Source organism: Homo sapiens, chromosome 16, assembly GCF_000001405.40.
Source record: "Homo sapiens chromosome 16, GRCh38.p14 Primary Assembly".
NCBI classification, from domain to species: domain Eukaryota; kingdom Metazoa; phylum Chordata; class Mammalia; order Primates; family Hominidae; genus Homo; species Homo sapiens.
In genome coordinates this window covers 56,999,190-57,027,151 of record NC_000016.10, presented here as the reverse complement: position 1 = coordinate 57,027,151, position 27,962 = coordinate 56,999,190, and the positions used below count along the sequence as shown (strand labels likewise).

Here is a 27,962-nt window from a genome sequence, read left to right as displayed (position 1 = left end):
TGCATTGCAGGCCATTATGTTCTGATATTCAAGATTCTTATCCAGTCCTCTTGGCAGAGGTTTGCTAGACTGGTTGGCCTCTGCTCCCCCAAAAGCCCAATCCCCTCCCCGGTCCTCCTCCACTCTTACTCACCTGAGATTCTCTATCTGCCCACAGCCTACCAGAGCCTCAGGGCAGTGGGGCTCCAGGGGACAGCCATCAAAATCCAGGTGGATGGGGGCCTCCCTGTGCTCTAGGATGTTGGTCAGGGTGGCCAGGTCGGTGCAGGTCAGTGGGAAATTGTGGAAGGGCAGTTGATAGGGGAGGCTTTGTGCGGTGAGACTGGCCAGCTCAGGCTCCTGTGTCTCATCCACACAGTGACACAGCTCTACAACCTTTGGCCCTGTGAGCTTGCGGGTGGCCAACTTCTTCAACACCTGCACTACAGCAGCCTGCTTGGCACCCACACAGTCCTCATTGCCCTGCGCCAGGTGGCTAAGGAAGGGGCGGCAGGTGCAGGATGCCAGGCCCGCCAGGAAGGTGGGGAGGTGGTCTGAGAGGCCCAGTCTAGCTTTGGTCCGCTGTACCCAGCGGGAATGGAGGGTAACATACTGGGTAAGTGTGTCTTTGTTCACCTTGGGGCTGGCCATCAGGTGCAGGGCAGCAAGAAACTCCTGCAGGCTGAGGTGGGTGAAAGCATAGCCTGTCTGCTGGTGCCCAGGGCCTGTGCAGACGCAGAAGGAAGTCAGCAGGCTGTGAGTGGCCCCAAAAGCTATCAAGGGTGGAGCAATATCTTTTGCATAGAAGATAACCTTCCCTGTCTCCAGGCCCCTCAGGGCCACCTCCCCCAGGTCCAGTAGGGACGAGGTGGGCAAGTGCCCAGGGGGGCTGAGGGCGAGCACCATCTGCATATAGAGCTGAGTCATGTTGGGCAGGAGGGCCACAGACTGGCCTGGGGCGTGGTCAGGAAGCAGATGGTGGAGGCAGAGACAGGCGACTTGGCACAGTGCGGGCACCGCACACAGGCTTCGGAGACGTCCATTTGTCTGTAACTCCACCAGGGCCCCCTCCCGCGATGGCTGGGCGCTGAAGAAGTGATTCACATATTCTTCCACCCGTGGCCCATCAAAGCCCAACATGTGGACCATGGCTGCCTCTGCAGGCAGGCAGGCAGGCAGCTTCCCTGGACGGGAGGTAGCCATCACCCGGCAGCCAGGCAGGAGGGTCCCATTGCAGAGATGGGAGAAAAGGGTGAGGACTGGGCCTGGGCCATCAGGACCCATAGGCTGGAGGGCCTCATCTAGCCCATCAAAGATCAGCAGGACTTGGTCAGCGTTCTTCTCCAGGTACTGGAAGACAGTGTCGTGGTCCGATTCAGGGCTCAGGTACAGATCAAAAAGGAGCTCGGACGGTGTCAGGAACCTCGTGATCAAGTTGAGCTGGCGGAATTCAAAAAGGAACAGGGCCTGGAAACAGTTCAGATGGCCCTCTGCCCACTTCTGGCAGAGCCGGTGGGCCAGCGTGGTCTTGCCCATGCCAGCCTTCCCCAAAAGCACGGTCACCCTCGGGCCCTTGTTAACCCTGGTGTTGAAGAGGTCCGAGATGCTCACGTCAGCACCATCTTCCACCTTGACGTCCCCCATAATGGCCCCCTCCGGAGTGTCTAAGGATGCTGTGGCCCGGCGCAGGATTGGAGGGACATAGACCTGGTGGAAGGCGTGGGGCTGCCCTGACCCAGGGATTTGGCTCCTGTAGCGCTGCTGGGCAGAGGTCCGCAGGAGCTGCAGGTACTTCTTGGCCAACTCTGCAAGGGGCAGGGACATGGCATGAGGAGAGGACCCCCCGGCCCTCTGCTCATGTCTTCTTGCCCCAGTATTGGGCTGTTGGGAGCCTGTAGCCCCAGATGTGTATGTATGATGGGGTGAGGGTGGGGGTGTCAAGAGCACCATAGGGGGATCTGTGCCACCCCAACTTCCAGAAGGAATCAGTTCTAAGGGAGCATAGGCTCTCCGGTAGCTATTTAAACAGGCAGGTGGGAATGGGGAAGTGTGGGTCACGGTTCTATCCATTCTGCAATAGTACACGTGGTGTAAGGGTTCAGTAAGATGGGGGGAGGGGAATAGGGCACCTCCTTTGCAACATCTCTTTTTTTTCTTTTTTCCCAGAGACAGAGTCTCAGTCTTGCCCAGGCTCCAGTGCAGTGGCACGATCCTAGCTTACTGTAGCCGCAAACTCCTGGTCTCAAGTGATCCTCCTGCCTCAGCCTCCTGAGTAGCTGGGACTACAGGTGCACACCACCACACCCAGCTAATTTTTGTATTTTTAGTAGAGACAAGGTTTTGTCACGTTGGCCAGGCTAGTATTGAATTCCTGGGCTCAACTGATCCACCTGCCTCAGCCCTCCAAAGTGCTGGGATTACAGGTGTGAGCCACCGCGCCCAGCTACTTTGCAATATCTTATTGAAACAACCTCTTTCTGTAATATCTGGATCCCCAGTGCCTCTTCCCAATATTTCAGTTCTGCAATGCCCAGGGGTGAGCACTAACAACCTGTAGGCCTAGGCATTACCGATCGGAACTGTGGGAGCTGGGCCCCTACAGTGCCAGATGTTAACCTTTTAATTCCTGGGTCATTGAGAGGTCTCAGGTGACCCAGGGAAAGGGCTGGGGCTGCTTTTGGGGGAACCCTATGGGGAAAGGCCAAGGTAGTGAACTATTTTGAGCGGATGTGAATCCTCTGGTTATAGCCATGGTTGGCAGCAGTGGGGGCAGAGAAGGCTCTAGTTAGTGGGACAACTCGTGGAGAACGAGGACCATTCTGAGAACTGGTCAAGAATGAGAGAAGTCCCCTTTCTTCTCTCACTGGCCTGGCCTGCCCTAAGCAGCTCCATGTCTCCCCATGGGCCCCCAGGGCCTCTGTCTTGAAGGTTTCTCCCAGGCCTCCTCACCCCTCCCCATCCCTGCTCACCCCCAAACTGGTCTCCTCCCTGGGTCTCCTTCAACACTGAGGACATAGGGTGTCCCTGGAAAAGCCTGGACAGCGAAGCTGAGACCTGTATGGTGCTTCCAGCTCCTTCAGCGGAGCCCTCTTCAGAGAAGTCCCCATGCAGCCAGATGGGTGGGGAGCCCCTTCGCTGCCAGCCCAGGCCTCTCCTCTGCCTGTGCAAGACCTCCAGTCCTTTTCTCCTGGAAACTTGCGAGACAAGAGTCACTGGGCCTCTGGAGGCTTATTGGCAGGGGACAAGGTCCAGGGTCCGGGTCTTGGCCCCCAGGCAACCCCATCTCTCTGTTTATGTTCCTCCCCACACTGGTACCCACCTAGCTGCTGCTTCTTGCACTGCTTCCGGCGGGGTGAGGACCCACAGCTCTGATGTGGGCGCTTCAGGCCTGAAAAAGCAAAGGAAGGGGTGGAGGAGTGGGGTCTGGGGATCTGGGCTGAGGGGTTACCCAGAACCTTTGGGGAACTCCAGTCCACAGACAGGTGGCAGGCAGCCAAGTACACCCACATGCAGGGACTGGAAAGGCAGGCAGCAGGCAGAGGCTGGGTCAACACCAGCTTCTATTTGCAGAGTGGACTTCTAGGCACCCCCATTGGAAGGTGGATGTTCTGGGCCTGGCAGTCTTGCAGTCCAGGATGCAGGAAGCAGGGCCAACAGCCAGCAGCCCCCAGAAACACTCAGCTCCAAGCACTAAATGGCCATCTGTCCATCAGGGAAGGACCAAGCTCTATGGAAGCCGCCGGTGGTCATATAAGTGAAGTTCCCAGTGAGTTTGGCCAGGCCTGCAACCTCCCTCCTCTGTTAGGGTTTTATCATCCCGATTTCTTATCACCCACATTTCCTCACTTCCCTTAATAGTTTCTGGAGTCTTGTCTCATTGTATGGATTTTCAACAATCACTTTAATGCCTTTCTGGAAGAGTTTGAGAAAGGAAGAAGGAAAACAAGAAGGAAGGGGACCCAGAAAGGAAGGGAGGGAGAAAGGAAAGAGGACTCAGGAAAGAATTTTAAGAAGTCAAGCAGGGTCCTCCTACAGCTAAGCTAAGTGACCAATAGGAACAGCCCCTGGAGCAGGGCCCTGGGCTCCTTGTCCAGCTAGGAGGCTGGAACCAGTTCGAGAGCACTTCAATATCTTAACAAATCCTATATTAAAAAGGGACTCACTGGCCAAATATCAATCAGATCTGGTTACAGCCATGAGATAATGATGCCAGCTCAGTGATGCGGGCCTATTGGACCAGGGACTTGGACAGTTTTGATTCACTGGGGAGCTGAGGTTATAGGGTGGGTTTTCTGTTGGCATTACTGCCATGCACAGCGATAAGTAAAGTCAATGCTTCTGTAGAAATCAAGGTGCTGAGATGAAAGTGTGACCCACGAATCAGTAGGTGGTCATTATTTAATCACTGGCCCTTCCGAGCTCCTTCAGAAAATCAGCCAAAGGCTCCCCCGCTGAAGACAGCAGCTGTGGGTGAGTGTCAAGTCCAAGGTGTACAAGTCGGGAGGGGGTGGTTAGGGCTTCCCCATGAAGCCTGACACTTTGGGGCTGGGAGATGAGGCCCTGCGGGTTGCGGGCAGGAAAGTGAGAACAGGCTTCCTGAGGGGTTCCAGGTTAGACCCTTTAGAATTGGTAACGGGACAAGCTAAAGCCTTGAAAGTCACTGCAGGAGGAGGTGGGGCTGGGAGACACAGTTAGGGGCTTGACACACTTGCAAATGGGTCAGGGACAGACGAAGAGCATGGCCTATGAGAAATGGCTGTGACCAGCCACCACAGCCTCCACAGCCTCCTCCAGCTTGGAAGTGGGGACTTCACAGTGCTCACCACCCCCTTCCCACCCCCCAACTCCAGTCCTCACCATGGTGGAGCTGAGATTCAGGTTGGCTTTTCCCCTCAGCTCCCAGCTGGCTGGTGAACCCTGCAAGAGAGGGGAGAGTATAATGTGGTATGGGGCTGTCGAGGGATGCTGGGGACCAGCTCTGGCCTGGCGCCTGGCTCAGGGCTCATCTCACAGGGAGATACCCAGCAAGGGAGAACTAAATGGAACACTCAGTTATCTGTTGTGGAGAAAATGTGGTGGTGAGCTTTGAAGGCAGTGCTGGGCAGAAATGTGTGTATATGCAAGTGCATGCAAGTTTATGTATGTGTGTGCACAGGCATGCATGTGTTATGCATGTGGGCACACTTGCATGCATGTGTACATGGGTTTACGCACATACCCACATGTATATGCACTGTGTGTATCTGCATATGTCTGCACATATGTGCATGCGCCGCCCCGCCCCCCGCAATTCCCACACTCTGCCTTGAAGTAGGGTTCTTAAGTGAGTTCCCATTTTCTCTCCAAAAACGCTGTTGCCCCTCAATGTCCTGTGTTTCCCCTCAGTGCTGTGCAAACAGAAGGTGCCCAAGAAATCCCCACGGATCAGTAGAGGGCAGAAGGCGCTCCCCGTCACTGTTTCTGACCATGTTGCAAAACAAACAAACAAACAAAAACACCTCTAGCCAGGTGTGATGGCTCACATCTATAATCCCAGCACTTTGGGAGGCCAAGGGAGGAGGATCACTTAAGGCCAGGAGTTCAAGACCAGCCTGGGCAACACAGTGATGTCCTGTCTCTACAAAAGAATGAAAAATTAGCCTAATGTGGTGGCATGCACCTATAGTTCTACTGTAGTCTCAGCTACTTGGGAGGCTGAAGTGGGAAGGATCACCTGAGTCCTGGAGTTGGATGCTGTAGTGAGCTATGATTGTGCCACTGCACTCCAGCCTAGGCAACAGAGCAAGACCTTGTCTCAAAAATAAAAAACAAACAAACAAAACCCAACAAGAGCAACAACAAACAAAAAACACCCCCCCACCCCCGCCAAAAAAGAAGAAATAAATCTCTCGGGCATTATGGGCTATGTGGGATTTTGTGGCTGGAAGCAGTCACTCAGCAATTCGAGCAATTCGAGTGAAGCCAGGTAGAAGGAGGGGTCCTCCAGGCCCCAGCAGATTTGGGCGCATTAGGAAATTTGTTCTGGGAAGTGTCCAGAAATATAGAGTTGAGATCGTGGCTGGGCTACACCCTCTCTCTGACTTAGGTGGGTCCCTGGGCTCCTCCCGGCTCCCCATGACGCAGGTACTGGCCCGGCTGCTTTGCGTCTCTCACACCTGCCCTTACCATCATCATAGCCAAAAGTACTCAGCAGCAGCACCTCCAGGTCCAGAGGCACCTCCAGCTGCATGCACACACAATGAATGAAAGACTGCCAGGTGTCCGAACCCTGGACATGCAGCTTGTTGAGTTGCAGGATGACTCTCTGTTCAGGGTCCAAGGTCTCGTTCCTGGAATCCAGGTCCGTGTTGGGGAGGAAGAACTTCATCTTGGCGTTCAGCCATTCTGGGTCTTTGGTGAGCAGCCTCACAAGACAGCTCCACAGGTTCTTGTTGCCGAGCTGGAGGCCAACGGGGTCCATGAGGAGCCAGCCCTGGAGGGACAGGGAAGATAGGTGAGTTGAGGGGGACAGGTAAACTGGGGGCAGATGAGCTGAGGGACAGGGGAACTTGGGGGGAGTTGAGCTGGGGGACAGGCAAACTGGGGGGAGGTGAGCTGGGGGACAGGTAAACTGGGGGGGAGGTGAGCTAGGGGACAGGTAAACTGGGGGCAGATGAGCTGGGGGACAGGAGAGCTGAGGGGGAGGTGAGCTGGGGGACAGGGGAACTGGGGGACAGGGGAGCTGGGGCACAGGTGAGCTAGGGGACAGGGGAGCTAGGAGGAAGATGAACTGGGGGACAGGTGAACTGAGGGCAGGCAGGTGAGCTGGGGGACAGGGGAACTGGAAGGAAGATGAGCTGGGGAACCGGTGAGCTGGAGGACAAGCAAATTGGGGGCAGGTGATTTGGGGGACAGGGGAGCTGGGAGGAAGATTAGATGGAGAACAGGTGAGTTGTGGGGCAGGTGACCTGAGGGCAGGTGAGTGGGGTACAGATGAACTAGGGGGAAGGTGATCTGGGGAAGGTGAGTTGGGGGATAAGGGAGTTTCTAGGGAAGTCAAGCAGTCAAGAACCAGTCCCTACATTTGAGCGACATAAAATAGGCAGGGAAGTGGCCTCTCCATGGAGTCTTGATGTCTCTGCCCAGGGATCAGCTCCAGAGATCAGTCTGTTTCTTCTGCACCCCCTCCCTACTCCATTTGTGCCTGCACCCTGGCTCTCTGGAATGGTCTTGTTCATCCCCTGTGGACAGTCCCGTGAGGATGCATTACTCATTCTTATTTCCATGAACCATTTATGCTGCTCTCAGTCTGAGCTAACCTCATGGCAGAGACAACTAGTTGTCTCCCAAAATCTGTTCTTCCCTTCTTCCTCAGTATTAGAACTACTAAATATTCTCTGGTCATCTAGAATAGATTATTATATCCCAGTCTCCCTTGCAGTTATATGTAGCCATGTAATTTGGCCAGTGGAATGTAAGTAGAAATGTTGTCTATTCTTCTTTGCTCCTTCCTGTTGTCTGGATTGTTGATGGGATGGCTGGATCTTGGGCAGCCATATTGAATCATGAGGTGGAACCCATACTGAGGAAGGTGGAAGGTAAAGCTGCCCATCTGCCCTGTGCTCACTGACTTTGGACTTCTGTTACATGGCAGGGAAATACACTTCCATTCTGGTTAAGCCACTGTTGTTTAGTGCTTTCTGCTACTCACAGTGAACTCTAATCCTAGCTAACACAGACCATCACCTCTTTTGCTAAGCAAATTCTTCCCTTCTGAACTGGAACTCTTTTTTTTTTGAGACAGAGTCTCGCTCTGTCACCCAGGCTGGAGTGCAATGGTGCAATCTCGGCTCACTGCAGCCTCCGCCTCCCGGGTTCAAGCGATTCTTCTGCCTCAGCCTCCCGAGTAGCTGGGATTACAGGTGCACACCACAATGCCCAGCTAATTTTTGTAATTTTTAGTACAGATGGGGTTTCACCATGTTGGCCAGGCTGGGCTCAAACTCCTGACCTCAGGGTGATCTGCCCACCTCGGCCTCCCAAAGTGCTGGGATTACAGGTGTGAGCCATCATGATGGCCGAACTGGAACTCTTAAACCACCTCCTTCTAGAAGTACCAATAGAGGGCACGGGGCATTTACACAGCAAAAGCCTAAATAATGTGCAGTTCCTTTGATTCAGTAATTCCATTTCTAGGACTCTAACCTTGGCAAACGATCATGAACGTATATACAATATTTAATTGCAAAGATGCTCACTGCAAGATTATTTATAATTATTAAAAATTGGAAACAACCTAAATGTCCAACAGTTGGGGATTGGCCAACTAAATGGTGGTCCATCATCTAGTGGACTATGCTATCACATTTCCGGATGTACTTTCTGGTACTATGTCCTTCCTCATAGCAGTACACACTTGGAAAGCACTCACTGTGTATTAGGCACTGTCTAAGTGCTTTATATACCTTATTTTATCCTCACAACTCCAGAGAGTCCACCTCTAACTCTGAAAAGAGTAGGAGGTCCACCCAGAAGCCAGCCTTCCCAATTCCCAGAGGCTGAGGCCAGTACTATGCGTCCTGGGGTTTAGAGCCCAGCTGCTCCCTGGGCATGCAGTAGAGACATACTTGGATGTACTGTCAGCCCCACTGGTCATTTCTCCTCAACTGGGCTAATAGCAATAGGTCCTCACTCAGGCAGAGAGTCTTAGAATTTATGAAACATGCTCACACCATGATCCTCAGGCAGGGATCACCACCTCCACTAAGCAGACGGAAAGACCATGGCCAAGGAAGGGCAAAGGGTGTGCCCACAGTCACACAGCAAGTCCATGACAGAGGCAGGAGGAGAACTGAGGTTTCTTGCCTCCCAGGCCAGTAAATTTCCAAGGCCTTGGAGGCCTAGATGGCACCAGACAAGGCTAAGTCCCTGGATTTTGTGTGATCTCGGCAAAAGGATGTGGCCATAGCCTAGGGCATAACTTCTTTTCCAGGCTATGGTGTCCAGCATCCATGCTACCCATGAAGAAATGGTCCAGGGCAGCATGGCACCAGATGGAAGTAAGTAGTGCCTGGATGGTGTGATTTCTGGTGATGTTTCTCATCCTCAAATTTCTCCTCCAGCCAGTCTAACACAATACCTTTGTTTCCATCATTAGTGTTCTATCCCCTTAGGATATGACACAAATCTCTTTAAGGCTAACCATCCTCAGGAGAAAAAGCACATGGCATCATTATCAGTCATTGAGATTTCCATGGGGAATAATCTTGGAGACAGAGGACGATGGTTGAAAGATCCATGGCCCAGCTCTGTTACTAATTCTCTGTGGTAGGCATTAGGGCTGTTCACAGATACTCTTTCTCCTCTTTCTAGGCCTTTGGTGGGATTACACTTCTCTGCCTCCTTGAAATTGGGCACAGCCATGAAACTTGCTTTGGTCAATGAAACATGCTAAAAAAGACTCATGTCATGCCTGTAGTTGTTTTAAGAACCAAGGTGTAATTGACAGTACTTTTTCTTTTTTTCTACTCCAGGGACCAGAAATATTGCAAATCATGGCTACCCTGTTAGCCTGAGTGTGGGAGACAGGATGATGTGGAGGAGCAATCCCAGTCAATCCACACGAGACAGGAAGCAAGAGCAGGAAATAAACTTTTGTTGCCATGAGTCACTGGGACTTTGGAGGGTGCATGTACTACAGTGTAACCTGGCCTATCCTAGCTGATACACTCATAGTGTGACCTTGAGCAAGCCTTTTTCCTATATAAGCCTCAGTCATACCATCTCTAAAATGGGTAGATTAGATGCTGTCTCAAAACTCTTCCTGATTTTCTGTGTCTGATCATTACATTCTCATGCTGAATGATGGTCAAGGGCAGGTTTGTTGTGTTGGGGGCAGCCCAGTAAGGCAGATTTGGGTAGGGACCAGTCTTGGCAGTAGGAGAAAAGTGACGAAGTAGATAGGAGGGGAAAAGAGGAGGTGAAGGGGAGAGAAAAATCACCTACTTGGTCTCCTCGTTCATGATAGGTGCTCTAGGGTCCCCACGGAGAGGGTCTCATGGGTGTCTGGGCTATGTGTGCCTTGAGCTGGATTGACAGGTTGTTTCCATAGTGCAGACTCCTAAGGGGAGAGAAGACAGGGAGTTTTCCCCACTATTCCAGACTCCAAAAGGAATGCTGTAAACCAGGCACCAGCCCTTGCCCCTGCCTGCCGGAGACACATCTGAGAACATTGGCTCCAGACACAGTCCCCCCAACTCCATCCGCTAGACCTTGTTCTTCCCCGACTGCAGCTCCTTGTGTCCCTGGGTTTACGCAGCCTAACCCTCCTTGATGTCACCTCCTGCCACACCTGGCTCAGAGGATGCCCCTCTTCCTCCTCCAATTCAGATATGCACCTTACAATGTCCTTTGGCATCACAATGAGCCCTGCAAGTCAGCAAAGTTATTACTGCTCATTTATTCAGATGAAAATGAAATAATCCTTACTGCAGATGCCAACTTTTGCCCCCAATATAAAACCCCAAAAAGGTTAGGATTTGCAATCTTCTTCCTATTTAGTTAGTTTTTTAAACAATTGAGAGTAAACATTCTTCTTAAAGAGAAGACCTGGAGGCATTGATAGCTGCTCACAGAAAGCACAATAAAAAGATGAGCTGGCACAAACTCCCACACCACGCAACAGAGATCTTCCTACGAACAAAGAAGAGAACAGGTAGCTACAGAGTACATGGAGGAAATGAAGAGAGGCGGAAGATCAGCGTGTGCTCTGATTGTGTCTCTGTGAAATACGGGGAATGTAACTCAGAGTTCCATGACTTTAGACAAATCCACGTAAATAGGGCACATTCTGACATAATGGAGGTGGTATGTAGTATGGTAATTAGAAATAAGAAAGGAAAAGAGAGATCTTTTGAAGAGGTCCTGGGGGACTAATAACATATGTCTATATTTCTCTTTCTCTCTCTTTCTTTTTTCTTGAGATGGAGTCTTGCTCTGTTGCCCAGGCTGGAGTGCAATGGCATGTTCTCAGCTCACTGCAACCTCCACCTCCTAGGTTCAAGCAAGTCTCATGCCTCAGCCTCCCGAGTAGCTGGGATTACAGGCATGTGCCACCACGTCTGGCTAATTCTAGTATTTTTAGTAGAGACTAGGTTTCACCATGTTGGCCAGGCTGGTCTTGAACTCCTGACTTCAAGTGATCTGCCTGCCTCAGCCTCTTTAAGTGCTTCTTTTCTTTTCTTTCTTTTTTTTTTTTTTTTTTTTTTTGAGATGGAGTTTCATTCTTGTTGCCCAGGCTGGAGTGCAATGGCATGATCTCGGCTCACCACAACCTCCACCTTCTGGTTCAAGCAATTCTCTTGCCTCAGCCTCCCAAGTAGTGGGATTACAGGCATGTGCCACTACACCCGGCTAATTTTGTATTTTTAGTAGAGAAGGGGTTTCTCCATGTTGGTCAGGCTGGTCTTGAACTCCCGACTTCAGGTGATCTGCCCGCCTCGGCCTCCCAAAGTGCTGGGATTATAGGCATGAGCCACTGTGCCCAGCCTCTTTCCTTTATTTATTTATTTATTTATTTATTTATTTATTTATTTATTTATTTTTTTAAGAGACAGGGTCTTTCTATGTTGCCCAGGCTGGATTCAAACTCCTAGGTTCATGTGATCCTTTTGCCTTAGCCTCCTGAGTAGCTGGGACTGCAGGCATGGGTCACCACAGCCAGCTAAATGATATTTTAAAAAACATTATCACACTGTAACAGGAGAAATAAAGAGAGGCTTTAGCAAATTGAGATAAAAACTTGCCGTGGACTGAATGTTTGTGTCCCACCTCCCCCACCAATTCACCTGGTGAAGCCTAAATACCCAGTGTGATGGTATTTGGAAGTGGGACCTTTGCGAAGTGATTAGGTCAAGAGGGTGGACCCCTTATGATGGGATTACTGCCCTCACAAGAAGAGGCTGGAGGCCGGGTGCGGTGGTTCACGCCTGTAATCCCAGCACTTTGGGAGGCCAAGGTAGGTAGATCACTTGAGGTCAGGAGTCTAAAACCAGTCTGGCCAACATGATGAAACCCCATCTCTAATAAAAACATAAAAATTAGTCAGGCATGGTGGCAGGCACCTGTAGTCCCAGCTACTCAGGAGGCTGAGGCAGGAGAATCACTTGAAGCCAGGAGGCAGAGGTTGCATTGAGCCAAGATCATGCCACCGCACTCCAGTCTGGGCAACAGAGCAAGACTCCATCTCAAACAAACAAAAAAAAAAAGGAAAAAGGAAGAGGCTGGAGAGCGCTTGCCCTTTCTTTTTGCTCTCTGCCCTGTGAGGACACAATGAGAAGGTGCCGTCTGCAAACCAGGAAGCGCATCCTCTCCAGACACCAGGCCTGCTGGCTCCCTGATTGGGGACTTCCCGGCTTTCAGAACGTGAGAAACAAGTTTCTGTTGTTTAAGCCACCCAGTCTACAGTGTTTCATTATAACAGCCCAAACTGACTAAGACATACTTGCCTTCGACCACAGAAAGTGAAAGAAAATAAAACCCACTCTAAGTTAACAGGCAGATAAAAAACAACAGCACTTTATGTACAACAGGATACTTTAACAGAACTTGGTAAAATTATATTAGCAGTCATTTAGAGAAAAGAGGCAGTATTTATATGCCTTAAATATTTCATAATAAAACCGCTGAAGTTACTTTTAAGTCTAATCTTAAGTTAGAATTAGATATAAAGAAACGAATAAAGGCAATTCTATCAAAAGGCTATTTGTTGGGAGGATCAGACAATAGCAAAAAAGCTTCCAAACATAATAAAATATATAACAAGGTGACCATCATTCAAACTTTAAGATTCTTGGATTAAAAATGGAAAAAAATTGGCCAAAGGGATGGAATAGAGTCCAAGTGAGCCTCACACTCATTTAAAATACACTATTTAATCCATGATATTGAAAGAAAAAAGGGGGGAAATAAGTGGTGTTAAAATACATAGCAATATGCTGTCTCTTTCCTGCCACCATGAAGAAGGTCTTTACTTCCCCTTTGCCTTCCATCATGATGATGTTTCCCAAGGCCTCCCTCGCCATGTGGAACTGGTGTTTTGAAGCCTGTGGACCTTAATGGTGTCATCAAACTTTTTGAAGAGACTGCTAAAGAAGGCTTAGAAGAAAAGCAACTTAAATCTGTCAAGAAACTGGTACAGTGTTATCAGAATGAACTTCCCTTAAGGGATTTAGTACAGACATTTGAAATTCTGAATCTGTGTGCAGTAAAAATTGAAAACCAGCCGCATTTTGTAGAATCTGCATATGATATCATAAAATAGTGTGGCTTGCCATTTTTGAAAAAGAAAGTATCGGATGAAATAACTTATGCTGGAGATACTGCTAGTTCAGTTGCGCTTCTGGGTGACTTAATGAAAATACCAAGTTCTGAATTGAGGATAAAAAATTGTAAACGTATTGTTGACTTTTATCAGGCACAACCACCAAAGGAGCATATTCCAGGTTACCAGCAAGTGAGTTCATCATACAAGATTCAAATGGCTGAAGTTGGAGGATTGGCAAAAACAATGGCCCAGTTAATGACCTTGCTTGAAAATCAACTTGTTGAGAAACTTTGGGTACTTAAAATTCTGCAGCATCTCTCGACTTCTGAAGTTAATTGTACTGTAATGATGAAAGCACAAGCAGCCAATGGAATCTGTGCTCACCTCAATGACTCAGATTTCTCTGGACAGCTTTTATTTCCTTCATCAGAAACACTTTGGAACTTATCAGAAAAAATCTTCAAAATAAGAAATTGTTCAACAGCTTAGTAACTTGGAATGTTTACTGACTTTGAAGGAAGTATTTTAAAATCTATGAGAGGTTTTAGTCATTATGACCGTCAGCTTAGAAATGACATATTAGTGATCACTACAGTTATAGCTCAAAATCCTGGAGTGCCAAAGATTGAATGTGGCTTTACCAAGGATTTGATACTGTTCGCAACCTTTAATGAAGTTAGAAGTCAATCCCTTTGGTAAAGGACTTAAATTTTCTAAATCCTATGAAGATTTTGAGTTGAATAAATTACTATTCACTATAATTGTGATCTTATGTAAAGATTTAAATACTATACAGGTAAAGAGTAATCAAGGCAAGAAAATTAACAAAAATTGTATCACTTTGTAGTATAAAAATATACATATGGCAATATGAGTGTTTTAAATTTAAAGAATTATTTTTAACTAAGCAATTAAATTAAAAATTTCTGCATGGAAATGAAAAACACAGCCACATAGCATTTCACACCCACATAGAATGGCTGTAATGAAAAAGACACATGTTGATGAGGATGTAAAGAAACAGGACACCGTATATATTGCCGGTGGGAATGTAAAATGGTCCAGCCACTCTGAAAAACAGTTTGGCAGTTTTGGCAGTTCCTTAGAACAGCAGTCCCCAGACTTTTTGGCCTAGGGACTGATTTCATGAGAGATCATTTTTTCCCCGGACGGGGGTTGGGGTTGGGGGATGGATTCGGGATGATTCAAGCTCATTACATTTATCATTAGATTCTCATCAGAAACTCGCAACCTAGATCCCTCACATGCGCATTTCACAACTGGGTTTGTGCTCCTATGAGAATCTAATGGCACCGCTGATCCGACAGGAGGCAGAGCTCAGGCAGTAATACTCGCCCGATGGCCGCTCACCACCTGCTGTGCGGCCCAGTTCCTAACAGGCCATGAACCGACACTGATCTGTAGCCTGGGGGTTGGGGACCCCTGCCTTAGAATGTAAAACAATAGAATTACCATCTAATCCAGCAATTCCACGCCTAGGTCTATTCCAAGAGAAATGAAAATATACATCTACACAAAAACTTGTATATGAATGTTTGTACCAGCATTATCCATAACAGTCAAAAAGTGAAATCAACCCAAATACCCAAAAGCTCATGAATGGAGAAACAAACTGTGACATATCTATACAATGGAATATTATTCAACATAAAAAGGAACCAAGTTTATGCCATGTGAAAAAAGATCACTAAAGATCACGTATTGTATGATTCTATTTATGTAAAACATCCAGAAAAGGCAAATCTATTGAAACAGCAAGTAGATTACTGGTTGCCTGGGCCTGGGAGCAGAAATAGGAATGATTCTAAATGGGTTTGAGGAATATTATGGCAGTAATGAAAATGTCCCAAAACCAGATTGTGGTGATGGTCACATAACTCAGTAAATTTACCAGAAATCACTGAATCCTACACCTAAAATGGATAGATTTTACGGTATGTAAATTACACCTCAATGAAGTTGTTAAAAATAATGCAGTAGAAATTAACATATTATAATAATGTATTCTTTATTGCCTTTTTTTTCTGTATAGTAAAAATGGCAACAAACAAAACGAAAGCAACAAACTGGGAAGTGTTTGTACCATCTATGATGGTAGTCTAATTTTCTTTTCTTTTTTTTTTTTTTTGACACAGGGTCTTGCTCTGTCACCCAGGCTGGAGTGCAGTGGTGCAATCATAGCTCATGCAGCCTCCTACTCCTGAGTTCAAGTGATTCCCCTGCCTCACCCTCCTGAGTAGGTGAGACAACAGGCACACTCCACCATGCCAGGCTAATTTTAATTTTTTTGTAGAGACATAGTTTCCCTGTGTTGCCCAGGCTGGTCTTGAACTACTGGACTCAAGTGATTCTCCCCTCATCAGCCTCCGTAAGTGCTGGGATTACAGGCGTGAGCCTCTGCACCTGAGTCTAAATTCAATTTTTTTTTTTTTTTTTGAGACGGAGTCTCCCTCTGTCGCCTAGACTTGAGTGTAGTGGCACGATCTCAGCTCACTGCAACCTCTGCCTCCTGGGTCCAAGCGATTCTCCTGTCTCAACCTCCTGAGAAGCTGGGATTATAGGCACCCACCACCATGCCCAGCTAATTTTTGTATTTTTAGTAGAGACGGGGTTTCACCATATTGGTCAGGTTGGTCTCGAACTCCTGACCTCAGGTGATCCACCTGCCTCGGCCTCCCAAAGTGTTGGGGTTACAGGCGTGAGCCACTGCACATGGCCCATAAATTCAAATTTTAAAAAGCTGTGGCATGTGTATATTTTAAATGTGTGTGTATTTGCATACATAGAGACCAACTCTGGGAAGCTACACAGGAAACTGATGACAGGCTTGTGTCTGAGGAGGGGTCTGGGCCTGCTGGGACAGGAGAGCCTTTCCCACTGTGGACCCTTTTTAGGACCCTTTGAACCATTCAAACTTTTTAATGTGCACATTTTGATTTTTTTTTAAAAAAAGCCACAAGAACATTTACATTAAAAACTAGAATAGACATTTCCCCAATGTGTAAGGAAGAGAAATACAAGATGATGAGTAAATAAGAAATTATCAGTGATAGCTCACAAAAAAATGAAACTTCCCTAAATGACGTGAAATAAAAGAGAAATAGGAAGGCAATAGGTGGGGAAAAATATTTGCACTAAGTATGATGGATGGAGGATGAATATTACAATTAAAAAGCAGCCAGGTGCAGTGGCTCACGCCTGTAATCCCAACACTTTGGGAGGCCGAGGTGGGAGGATAGCTTGAGCTCAGGAGTTGGAGACCAGCTTGGGCTACATTGTGCAACTCAGTCTCTACAAAAAATAAAAGATTAGCTGGGCGTGGTGGTGTGTGCCTGTAGTCCCAGCTAATCGGGAGGCTGTGGCAGAGGATTGCTTGAGCCCAGGAGTTTGAGGCTGCAGTGAGCTATGATCTCGCCACCCCACTCCAGCCTGGGCAACAGAGTGAGACCGCATGTCAAAAAACAAAAAAATTAAAAAGTTATTCATATCTACTGAGAAAATATTTCATTTTACTTTTGAGTTTAACATTTATGCATGTGTGATAAGGACACTACATTTCTACTGGAAAAGCAGTTGACAAAGTTGAACAGACAATATAGCGAATATTTGCTACTTGCCAAGTGAGTACCTTTCAGCATTATTTAATTCTCCCAACTCCACCTGGATGCCTCATGTGCGTTTCAAAATTTCCAAGTCCGAAACTGAGCTCCTGATCTCTCCTCCTAAACTGCTCCCCAGACCACCTTCCCCACTTCAGTTAGGGGCAGCTTCATGCTTCCTTGAGCTCAAGCCCAAAGATGGCTTCATTTTCCAAGTGCATTCCAGAATCTTGCTTCCTCTACTGCTATGGCCTAGCCTGGACACCATCATTTCTCACTGGGATTCCTGCACCAGCCTCCTCCCTGGTCTCTGTCCACCCATCCCCCAATAACCTACTCCACGCAGGAGTCAGCTATTAAGACAGAGCCTGCATCAGGTCCCATGACATCAGGTCCTATGCCCCTTAGAGCCTTCTCATCTCACCCAGAATGAAAGCCAACTTCCTGCCCAGCACTACCAAGATGTTTGAACAGTTTTTTAAAAAAATCAAACTTGATCACTTTAAATTTATCCTCATTGTGTTGGTTGGTTATTTTTGGCTTTTTAAAAATGAACATTTGGCAATTTAGTTTTGAGAAAGTTGCTCATTTTGTCAAGATGTTCAAACATGGTGTAGCTCACAGTTGTATATAATATGTTCTTGTATTTTTTTTTTTGAAATGGAGTCTCACTCTGTCGCCCAGGCTGGAGTGCAGTGGCGTGATCTCAGCTCACTGCAACCTCCACCTCCCAGGTTCACGCCATTCTCTTTCCTCAGCCTCCCGAGTAGCTGGGACCACAGGCACACGCCACCATGCCCAGCTCATTTTTTGTATTTTTAGTAGAGACGGGGTTTCACCATGTCAGCCAGGATGGTCTCGATCTCCTAACCTTGTGATCCGCCCACCTCGGCCTCCCAAAGTGCTGTGATTAGAGGCATGAGCCACTGCGCCCAGCTTTATTTATTTATTTATTTTTTGAGACGGAATCTCACTCTGCCACCCAGGCTGGAGAGCAATGGCAAGGTCTCGGCTCACTGCAACCTCCACCTCTTGGGTTCAAGTGATTCTCCCGCCTCAGCCTCCTAAGTAGCTGGGACTACAGGCTCATGCTACCACAGCCAGCTAATTTTTGTATTTTTGGTAGAGACGGGGTTTCACCATGTTGGCCAGGCGGGTCTCAAGCTCCTGACCTCATGATCCACCCACCTCGGCCTCCCAAAGTGCTGGGATTACAGGCGTGAGCCACCGTGCACGGCCTATTTTCTTATAATTTTAAATCTCTTCATGGCTTCACATTTAATTTAGTTTACTTTGTTTTTTCTTCTTTTTAGATTCACCAGCCGTTGGTAACTCTTATGTTTGAAAAACAAATTTTTGTTTTCATTTATCAATTTTGCTGGAATGGTCCCTTTTCTAGTTCTGTAATTTTTGCTTTTATCTTTTTATTTCTTTCCTCTGATTTAGTGAGGCTGTTTGTTATTCTTTAAAATTAAAAACTTTATTGCTTAAGCCATTGCTAGGCTTTTTCTTTTAAAAAATAATAAAACACTTTTGGCCAATTTCGATAAATGTATATCAATACTTATGTGCTAAGTAGATTGAAATTATAATTTGGAATGGAGTAATTTAATAAAGGGTTGTTTTTAAGGCTTTCTTATTAGTTTTTGTGCATTACACTGTACAAAGAATAAGTCCTGTGCAATTTCTGCTTTGAGGACTATGTTGAGATTTTTTCTTGCTTGGTATATAATAAATTTTAAAACATTTCATGAACATTTAAAAAGTGTTCTTTTAGAATAAAAATGGATTTCTATTTCACAATTATATCAAAATAAAGTCTAGATGAAACCAAAATTTAAATGTAAGAAGTTAAACCATGAAAGTACCAGAAAGCTATATGTTCAATTTATAACAATTCATGAAGTTGTACACTTACATTACATTTTTCTATGTGTTATGTTTCACGACAAAAAAGTTAAGAAAATGTAAGTGCTCAAACAAAACATGGGAAAAAGTATTTTAAAAAAATTTCTCTTTTAAAAAATAGAGGCGGGGTCTTGCTCTGTTGCCCAGGCTGGCCTTGAACTCCTGGACTCAAATAATCCTTCCACCTCTACCTCCCAAAGTTCTGGGATTGCAGGTGTGAGCCACTATGCCTGGCTGAAAAAAATATTTTACAGAAAATAATTTCAGAGTAGAGAGCATCTTGCTAAGCATGACACAAAACTCAGAAATCATGAAAAAAGAAAAAAACAACTGGATGAAACTGATCAGATATAAATTAAAATTTTTGTATTGTCAAAGAATACCACAGATAAGGTCAAAAGCCAGATGACAAATTGGAAAAATATCTGCATCACAGACAAGGTTATAAATGTATACATCATAAACAAAGCTATAAATGTATAAATGTTTTAATAAATCGAGAGTTACTAAAAACCAACACTGAAAAAGCCAATGACCTCATAGAAAACTAGGCAAAGAACATAAAAGGTTTACAAAAAAGGGAAACACCAATGACATTTAAAAATTTTTTTTTGAGACAGAGTCTCACTCTGTTGCCCAGGCTGGAGTACAGTGGCACGATCTCCACTCACTGCAACTTCCACCTCCCCAGTTCAAGCAATTCTTCTGCCTCAGCCTCCCAATAGCTGGGATTACAGGCACGAGCCACCATGCCTGATTAATTTTTTTTTTTTGTATTTTTAATAGAGACTGAGTTTCACCATGTTGACCAGGCTGGTCTCGAACTTCTGACCTCAGGTGATCTACCTGCCTCGGCCTCCCAAAGTGCTGGGGTTACAGGCATGAGCCACCACCCCTGGCCCCAATGACTTTTAAATATATGAAAAGATGTTCAAGCTCACAGAAAATAGAATAAATATAATACATTAGAACTAAAAAGATACACCATTTTCTAGCTATTAGATTCGCAAGGATATTACTGAGTTGGCAAGGTTGTGAATTAACGGGCACTTAGATGCTTTGCATCATTCCACGTGGACGTGGAGTGTGTATATTTTAAATGTGTGTGTATTTGCATACATAGTGACCAACTCTGGGAAGCTACACAGGAAACTGACGACAGGCTTGTGTCTGAGGAGGGATCTGGGCCTGCTGGGAAAGGAGAGCCTTTTCCACTGTGGACCCTTTTTAGGACCTTTTGAACCATTCAAACTTTTTAATGTGCACATTTTGATTTTTTCTAAAAAAGCCACAAGAACATTTACATTAAAAACTAGAATAGACATTTCCCCAATGTGCAAGGAAGAGAAATACAAGATGATGAGTAAATAAGAAATTATCAGTGATAGCTCACAAAAAAATGAAACTTCCCTAAATAATGTGAAATAATAATAATAATAATAATAATAATAATGTGTTAACGGTTTTGTGACCCTGTCTCAAAAAATGTGTATACAAATACATGAATATTTCTGGAAGAAATTCATCCGTGGACATGTAACAGGATACAACCTTTATCTACCAAAGTGGTAAATGCCATGTAATCACACTGAGCAATTCCATACACAGGTATTTAGCCTACAGATATCTTCATAATGTGCAAAATAATATGCCCAGGGATATTTAACGTGGCCTTGCTTGTAATAGCAAAAGATTGGAAAAACCTAAATGATCAAAGAGGACATATTATGATTAAATTATGGCACATCTATACAATGGAATTCTTTGCAGCCATCAAAAAGAAAGAAGCAGCATCCAGCCACTCAGGAGGCTGAGGTGGGAGGATCACTTGAGCCCGGGAGGTTGAGGTAAGCTGAGATAGTGCCACTGCACCCCAGCCTGGGCGACAGAGTGAAACCCTGTCTCAAAAAAAAAAAAAAAAAAAAAAAGAGGATGAAGATGAACTTTATGGAATGATATGGAATGGTATCCAAGATACACTGTTTTTTAAAAGAGAGCCGGGGCAAAACAGGGTGTAGAATATGCTTCCTTTGTGTAAAGAAAAAATAAATATGGTGGCTCATGCCTGTAATCCCAGCACTTTGAGGGGCAAAGGCGGGCAGATCACTTGAGGTCAGGAGTTTGAGACGAGCCTGGGTAACATGGCAAAACCCCATCTTGACAAAAAATACAAAAATTAGCCAGGAGTGGTGGTGCACACATGTTGTCCAAGCTACCCGCAAGGTTGAGGTGGGAGGATTGCTTGAGCCTGGGGGTATCCAGGCTGCAGTGAGCCAAGATTGCATCCCTGCACTCCAGCCTGGGTGACAGAGTGAGACCCTGTCTCAAAAAAAAATGTGTATACAAATACATTAATATTTCTGGAAGAAATTCATAAAGGTAATTGTCCCCAGTGAAAGGAATTTTTTTTCCTTTTTTTTTTGAGACAGGGTATTGCTCTGTCACCCAGGCTGGAGTGCAGTGGTGTGGTCGTGGCTCACTGCAGTCTCCACCTCCTGGGCTTATATGATTCCCCGACCTCAGCTTCCTGAGTAGCTGGGACTACAAGTGCACACCACCACACCTAGCTAATTTTTTGTGTTTTTTGCAGAGATGGGGTTTTGCCATCTTGCCCAAGCTAGACTTCAACTCCTGGGCTCAAGCAATCTGCCCACCTTGGCCTCCCAAAGTGCTGGGATTACAGATGTGAGCCACTGCACCTGGCCTAGAATGTTATACCATATGCATGTGTTATCTAATGAAAATTAAGTTTTAAAAGTTGAATATATCTATTACTTCAGCTATACGAGTTGTCATTCAAACCTCCCAAGTTCACTTTTTTTCTTTCTCTTTTTTTTTTTTTTAATATTAAGATGAGGTCCCGCTATGTTGCCCAAGCTAGTCTCAAATTCCTGCGCTCAAGTGATCCTCCTGCCTTGGCCTCCCCAAGTGTTGGGATTACAGGTGTGAGCCACCATGCCTGACCCCAAGTTCATATTGATTTGATTTGAGGTAGCCATCAAAGAATGAGAAAGACATGCTAAGCCACTGTTCTTCAATTGATTTCTCCATGCATAGCTAGTAGTTTTTATATTGCATATGAATTACAAGGTTCACGATATTCAAATGCATAAAGTTTTTTACTGTTCTATAGAAAACAAGAAAGAAGAGCTACTGCAAACGGAACAGAGAAAATAAAACCCGATGAACTTTCAAGCCCTCACATTTGCATTTTGGCACCAGGACCTCTGGCTTTCCGTTCGAAGTGTTACCTCTAAGAATCCCCAGTGCACCCCTGAGGCCGAGTAATCAAATGGGGGCGCTGAGAGAAAGGTGGAGGGAAAATGGCCAGGGTCACGCAGTCAGTAAGGGGAATCCAGACACGTGGAGTTGCAGTCCTGGGATCATGCCACCCCAGTTCAGACAGAGAGAGGGAAAAGGGCTGGGGTGCACCTGGAAGATTTATGGGGGCTCTGAGTCTGAGGAGGTGCGAGGGGAGTTTACCCCACCCTGGTTTCAGTGTCCCAGCAGACGCCTCCCTCCAACTGCCCTCGCTGCTGTGCTCTTTGGGAATCCTTCCTGCTGTCCTGAAAATGCTGTTGACACAGAGCTTAGAGGAGGGAGTGCAGAGATCAAACCTTGTTCTCTCCCTGCAGCCCACAGGCCTTTGCCTTGGCTGTTCCCTTTGCTCAGAAAGCCATTCCATCTCTAGTCCACACTCATACACACATGCACGTGCACACACATACATGTACCCACATGTGCACATGCACGCATACCTCTGGCTGGAGTTATCTTGAAAACTCAGCTCTGGTCTGGCCTCATGCCTGTCTGAACTTGCTATCAGCATCCCACTGCCTCCAGGATAAAGTCACACCATGGAACTGTGACCACCACAAAGCAGCTACATATCAGGTGTCCAGGGAAGGCTCAGGACGAATAAACATTGGCTTATGCCTGTAATCCCAACACTTTTGGAGGCTGAGGCAGGAAGATCGTTTGAGGCCAGGAGTGGGCAGACAGTTGGCGAGACGAGCCTGGGCAACATTGTGAGAGCTGGTCTCAATTTAAACAACAAAAAACAAAAACAAAGGATAAATAAACAAATGCCCTTTCATCATCCAGTCCCCGGCCCTCCTAGGCCTCTCCTGCACCTGCTGACCTGCCCATGAGATGCTGCTCACCACCCCCCGGCATTCTCTTTCACAAGTCCCCGCCTTGCACATCCTGCTTCCCTACCTCACGTCCCCTTTCCTCTTTTTCCTACCTTGCAGACTTCTCCTTCCAGACCAGACCTCAGCACGGGGATCCATTTCTCACCCTCTCTCCTTCCTTCTGCTATCTCAAGTCTTGCCATTCTCTAGGCCCGTCAGCTTCTCTCAGTGCCTGAATCTTGGTGAGGGCAAATGCCTCCGTACCAGGGCCCTGGATTTGAGTCCCTACTCCACACCAAAGCTGTGTGACCCTGGTAGGTTACGCAGCCTCTTCGTACCTCAGCGTCCTCATCTGTAAAATGAGGATCTTCTAGGTCAGGTCCCTAGAAGCAGAGCCCAAGGGGGTTCCTGTGGAAGTTGTTTATTGAGGGGGTGGTGGAAGAAAGATAGGGTAGCAGAGGCAGCTGAGCAAAGATATGGTTTCAAAAGCCTCGCTTCAGCCTGCCACATGGGAGAACTGGAGCGTGATGATAGAAGAGGTCCATCCTGCGCATGTGCAAGGGGTCTGGGTGGTCGGTCACACTTCACGTCACTGCACCCCCAGTGGGCGGGGGAGGGAGGCATGACTGCCCAGGCATCTCTGAGCAAGGCAATGCCCACCAGGCAAAGGCGACCCCGGAAGAAGGATGCAGGTGTCACCCACAGTGAGTGGGGGCATCCGGGCAGAGATGGGGTTGGGGGAGCTCTGACAGTGTCTGCTATGGGGGGTCATCATAATGCCCACCTGGCAAGATGGTTGTGGGATGGGGCATGTGGAATCCCTGACATGGAACCTGGCACATGATACAAACTCAATCCAGGCTGGGCATGGTGGCTCAAGCCTGTAATCCCAGCACTTTGGAAGGCTGAGGCAGGCAGATCACCTGAGGTCCGGAGTTTGAGAGCAGCCTGGGCAACATGAGGAAACCTCGTCTCTACTTAAAATAAAAAAAATTAGCCAGGCGTGGTGGCAGGCGCCTGTAATCCCAGGCTGAGGTGGGAGAATAGCTTGAACCCAAGAGACGGAGGCGGCAGTGAGCTGAGATCACGCCACTGCACTCCAGTCTGGGCGACAGAGCGAGACTTCATCTCCAAACAAACAAACAAACAAACAAACAAACACCTCAATCTATGTGGAGAAAAGGGAGACCTCATACACTGGTGGGAATGTAAATTAGTACAGCCACTACAGGACAGTTCGGAGGTACCTCAAAAAACTAAAAATAGGGCTGGGCACGGAGGCTCACACCTATAATCCCAGCACTTTGGGAGGCCGAGGTGGGCAGATCATGAGGTCAAGAGATTGAGACCATCCTCGCCAACATGGTGAAACCCTGTCTCTACTAAAAATACAAAAATTAGCTGGGCGTAGTGGCGCCCCATGCCTGTAGTCCCAGCTACTTGGGAGGCTGAGGCAGGAGAATCGCTTGAACCCAGGAGGCAGAGGTTGCAGTGAACTGAGATCACGCACTGCACTCCAGCCTTGAGACAGAGTGAGACTCTGTCTCAAAAAAAAAAAAAAAACAAAAAAAAACTAAACTAAATTTAGAGCTACCATATGATCCAGCAATCCCACTGCTAGGTATATACCCAAAAGAAAGGAATCAGTGTCTCAAAGAGATATCTGCACTACTATGTTTATGACAGCACTGTTTACAATAGCCAAGATTTGGAATTAATCTAAGTGTTCATCGACAGATGAATGAACAGAGAAAATGTGGCAGCTGGGCACGGCAGCTCACGCCTGTAATTCCAGCACTGTGGGAGGCTGAGGCAGGTGGATCACCTGAGGTCAGGCATTGGAGACCAACCTGGCTAACATGGCAAAACCCCTCCTCTACTAAAAGTACAAAAATTAACAGGGCATGGTGGGGCATGCCTGTAATCCCAGCTACTTGGGAGGCTGAGGCAGGAGAATTGCTTGAACCTGGGAAGCAGAGGTTGCAGTGAGCCAAGATCGTGCCACTGCACTCCAGCCTGGGTGACAGAGCAAGAGTCCATCTCGAAAGAAAGAAAAGAATAAAAGAGTAAAAGAAAATGTGGCACACATACAAAATGGAGTACTATTCAGCCATCAAAAAGAATGAGATCCCATCATTTGCAAGGACATGGATGGCACTGGAGGCCATTATGTTAAGTGAAATAAGCCAGGTACAGAAAGACACACATCACTTGTTCTCACTTATTTGTGGGATCTAAAAATCAAAACAATTTAAGTCATGGAGATAGAGAGTAGAAGGATGGTTACCAGAGGATGGGAAGTATAGTAGGAGGCCAGGGTGGGGGAGGTGGGGATGGTTAGTGGGTACAAAAAATAGTTAGAATGAATAAAACCTAGTATTCAATAGCACAAGAGGGTAACTATAGTCAGTAATAATTTAACTGTACATTTAAAAATAACAAAAAGTATAATTGAATTGTTTGCAACACAAAGGATAAATGCTTGAGGTGATGGAAACCCCATTTACCCTGATGTGATTACACACTGGACGCCTATATCAAAACATCTCATGTAACCCATAAATATATACACCTACTATGTACCCACAAAAATTAAAAATGAAAAATAAAAAAAAGGTTCAATCCACACAAGCTATGATTACCACTAGTGTGGTTGTCGTTGCTATCGCTTCTTCCGTCTCTCCAGCCCCTGACGCCTGGTGTAAGGAAGGAAGTGAGGGATGCAGAGAGGACAGGAGTGGAGCCACAGACTTCTGGCTGCCATTCCTTTGCTTTCCATCCTGTTTCTGCCTCTTGAGGATTAGATTAAGGAGGAGGTCCCATTAGGTCTTGGGATGGAGGGGAAACAAGACCTCAGTTTTCTCATCTGTGCAGATCAGAAAGGATGCAGTTTGTGGGGTGATAGCCAGGCACCCCAGTCATGACTACAGACATTTGGACAGAAATACCTCAAAGAAACAGAAAGTGCTGCTGTTGTTGGTTCTTTAGGTCCAGGTGGACAGGTCAGGGCCTGGGGACCCTGGGGGAGGACCTGAGGCCACAGAGGCCCTCCAATCCTCCCTGAATCCTACACCAAGCCCTACCAGGGGGACACAGAGAACCCAGCGCCTCTGCCTTCCCCCCGGGAATGGCTGATGATGTCAGGGCTTCGGATAACACCTGAGCCTGGATGCACAGGGTGGCAGAGCAGAAAGAGCCCCAGTGATGGGGTCTATGCTGTGCCCATTGTAAAGATGGGGAAACTGAGGCCCTGGGAGGGAAAGGCCTTGCTGGCATTCAAAGCAGAGGAAACAAAACTAAGAGCAGGGCTGGGCTGGGCCACTGGTCTCTTTCTGGGAGGCGTCACCCTCCTTTCAGGGGTCCCTTGGGAGGTGCCTTCAGGAATGGTTAGTGGCCATTTCCTCCCCCGCCCACAAATGCTGGCAGGGCAAGCAAGAGATGTCCTTATAGGGCATATCCATTTCTGTGAGTCAGTGATGATGCAGGGGTGACTGTTGCCTGTGAAAACCATCGTCTCTGTTGTCCCTCACAAAGATAGGGCCCTAAAGGACTTAAAACACACAGTCATGATGCTTTACACATGAGGAAATTGAGGCTCACAGTGGGAAAGGGACCTGCCTAGGTCACCAGCTAGAGTCGAGGAGCCAGGAGTTGAAGAGGTGTCTCCCTGCCTGGCGGCCCTGGGGATGTTCCTGAGCCTGCACTCAAATTCATGCCTGCACTCCCAGCCTCAGGCCTGAGCCTGGGTGGTCCCTGTCCCCAGTCCAACAAGGCCATCTTCTTCTGGTCATTGGAAACCCAGCAATCTGGGTCCCAGCCCACATCACTAGTCTTTAAACTGCCTCCTTCACCCCAGCCACCTTCCTATGCTAAAGGCTTGAACTTTCCACCAAGAGCCCCCAAGCTTTCCAGATGCACCCTCCTCCAGGACTGGGGTGCCCTACTGCCAGCCTGAGCCTGGCTGGGACAGCAGGTGGCCAGCTGGTGGCCTTGCTTCTCCTGCTCAGCCCTGGCAGTTTGGGTCTAGCACCCACAGGAAGGGGTGGGTGGCTAGCAAGGCTGCTAGGAGAAGGCTCCCGCTTGCGTGTCCCGGGCCCCAGAGGCCTCTCCCTGGGGCTTCCAGGCCAGTGGTTCCCATGCTTGTCTGCACGACGGCATCACCTGGGAAGAGGGTCTTTAAAAAATCCCAATGGGCCACACTCCAGACCCATCACAGCACCATCCCAGGAGGTAGAACGCAGGCACTGGCACTTTTGGAAGCTCCCGGGGGGTTCCCCATGTGCCGATGTCTGGGAACAACTGTTTGAGGCTGTGGCACCCAGCTCTCCACTCCCAGTGGGGAGAGACAGGCTCCTCGCTACCTCCCACCTGGGGCTCTGCTTCTCCAGCAAATCAGAGCTGAGTGATTCTTGTCCTCTGAGAGCCCCAAAGGCCCTGGGGACAGGAAGGCCACCAAGTTGACCATATTTAGATGGAGACCTTGAGGATGTCTCCCCATAACCAACACTCAGCTTTATCCCCTTCCCAGGGCAGAGCACCTTCCTCAGACTGGGAGCTGTTTCTTGGCACCTCGTGCCCCAACTCTGTGGCTCTGCCAGGGCTTGGCACACCCAAGCCAAAGTGAAAATAAAACCAAGGTTTGGAAGTCCCCTCCTCAGCTCCAACCTTGCCATGGGGCCTGGCAGGAATGTCCCAGAGGAGTCTTGCTTTGGTTTGGTAAGTAAGGCAGGGGACAGAGTAAGCTCGAGACATAAAGGAGAGAAGGCCTGGATCCAGGGCTCAGAGCTGCAGGCTGGGAAGTGGTTTGCCCATCTTGTAGGGCAAATCAGCAGTGACTTCTAGATCTTACTGCGCTTCTACCCTTTGACCTTACCACTAAACTTCTCAGCAGAAAGCAAAATGGACAGCCTTGGGGCCCAGAATACACAATGTGATCGACTGAATATTTGTGCTCCCCTGAAATTCACATGTTGAAACTCTAACCCCTAATAGGAGGGTATTAGGAGCTGGGGTCTGGGG

The 27,962-nt window shown here is 47.4% G+C and overlaps 1 protein-coding gene and 1 pseudogene across 45 annotated transcripts in view, besides 8 other annotated features; one reads left to right on the top strand and one right to left on the bottom strand.

Moving 5' to 3' along the window:
* Nucleotides 1–27,962, bottom strand: part of NLRC5 (NLR family CARD domain containing 5) — a 93,964-nt gene that overhangs the window by 56,369 nt on the left and 9,633 nt on the right. For 34 of the 45 annotated variants that reach the window (NR_169520.1, NR_169518.1, NR_169517.1 and 31 more), the window contains exons 2-6: nt 9,964–10,078; nt 6,145–6,451; nt 4,837–4,896; nt 3,299–3,367; nt 134–1,784 (exon numbers count right to left, since the gene is read on the bottom strand). Coding sequence is in view for 35 of the 45 variants with exons in the window: in NM_001384950.1 (NP_001371879.1) it covers nt 134–1,784; nt 3,299–3,367; nt 4,837–4,896; nt 6,145–6,439 (2,075 nt within the window). In the remaining 10 variants the exon portion in view is untranslated. Of the gene's footprint in view, nt 1–133; nt 1,785–3,298; nt 3,368–4,836; nt 4,897–6,144; nt 6,452–9,963; nt 10,079–27,962 lie in introns of those variants that run through there. The other 11 variants (XR_001752000.2, XM_047434762.1, XM_047434763.1 and 8 more) reach the window with 2 other exon arrangements.
* Nucleotides 183–701: an enhancer, noted in NCBI's record as "H3K4me1 hESC enhancer chr16:57060363-57060881 (GRCh37/hg19 assembly coordinates)". NCBI's record gives its function as "activates a minimal SCP1, AML or CMV promoter by ChIP-STARR-seq in naive H9 embryonic stem cells {active_cell/tissue: H9 hESC(naive)}" and the evidence as "EXISTENCE:reporter gene assay evidence [ECO:0000049][PMID:30033119]".
* Nucleotides 12,114–12,163: an enhancer, noted in NCBI's record as "active region_10874". NCBI's record gives its function as "activates an Ori minimal core promoter by ATAC-STARR-seq in GM12878 lymphoblastoid cells {active_cell/tissue: GM12878}" and the evidence as "EXISTENCE:reporter gene assay evidence [ECO:0000049][PMID:35858748]".
* Nucleotides 12,294–12,453: an enhancer, noted in NCBI's record as "active region_10873". NCBI's record gives its function as "activates an Ori minimal core promoter by ATAC-STARR-seq in GM12878 lymphoblastoid cells {active_cell/tissue: GM12878}" and the evidence as "EXISTENCE:reporter gene assay evidence [ECO:0000049][PMID:35858748]".
* Nucleotides 12,494–12,543: an enhancer, noted in NCBI's record as "active region_10872". NCBI's record gives its function as "activates an Ori minimal core promoter by ATAC-STARR-seq in GM12878 lymphoblastoid cells {active_cell/tissue: GM12878}" and the evidence as "EXISTENCE:reporter gene assay evidence [ECO:0000049][PMID:35858748]".
* CFAP69P1 (CFAP69 pseudogene 1) lies at nt 13,039–14,098 on the top strand (annotated as a pseudogene).
* Nucleotides 15,332–15,381: an enhancer, noted in NCBI's record as "active region_10871". NCBI's record gives its function as "activates an Ori minimal core promoter by ATAC-STARR-seq in GM12878 lymphoblastoid cells {active_cell/tissue: GM12878}" and the evidence as "EXISTENCE:reporter gene assay evidence [ECO:0000049][PMID:35858748]".
* Nucleotides 25,793–25,852: an enhancer, noted in NCBI's record as "active region_10870". NCBI's record gives its function as "activates an Ori minimal core promoter by ATAC-STARR-seq in GM12878 lymphoblastoid cells {active_cell/tissue: GM12878}" and the evidence as "EXISTENCE:reporter gene assay evidence [ECO:0000049][PMID:35858748]".
* Nucleotides 26,816–27,317: an enhancer, noted in NCBI's record as "H3K27ac hESC enhancer chr16:57033747-57034248 (GRCh37/hg19 assembly coordinates)". NCBI's record gives its function as "activates a minimal SCP1, AML or CMV promoter by ChIP-STARR-seq in primed H9 embryonic stem cells {active_cell/tissue: H9 hESC(primed)}" and the evidence as "EXISTENCE:reporter gene assay evidence [ECO:0000049][PMID:30033119]".
* Nucleotides 27,383–27,482: an enhancer, noted in NCBI's record as "active region_10869". NCBI's record gives its function as "activates an Ori minimal core promoter by ATAC-STARR-seq in GM12878 lymphoblastoid cells {active_cell/tissue: GM12878}" and the evidence as "EXISTENCE:reporter gene assay evidence [ECO:0000049][PMID:35858748]".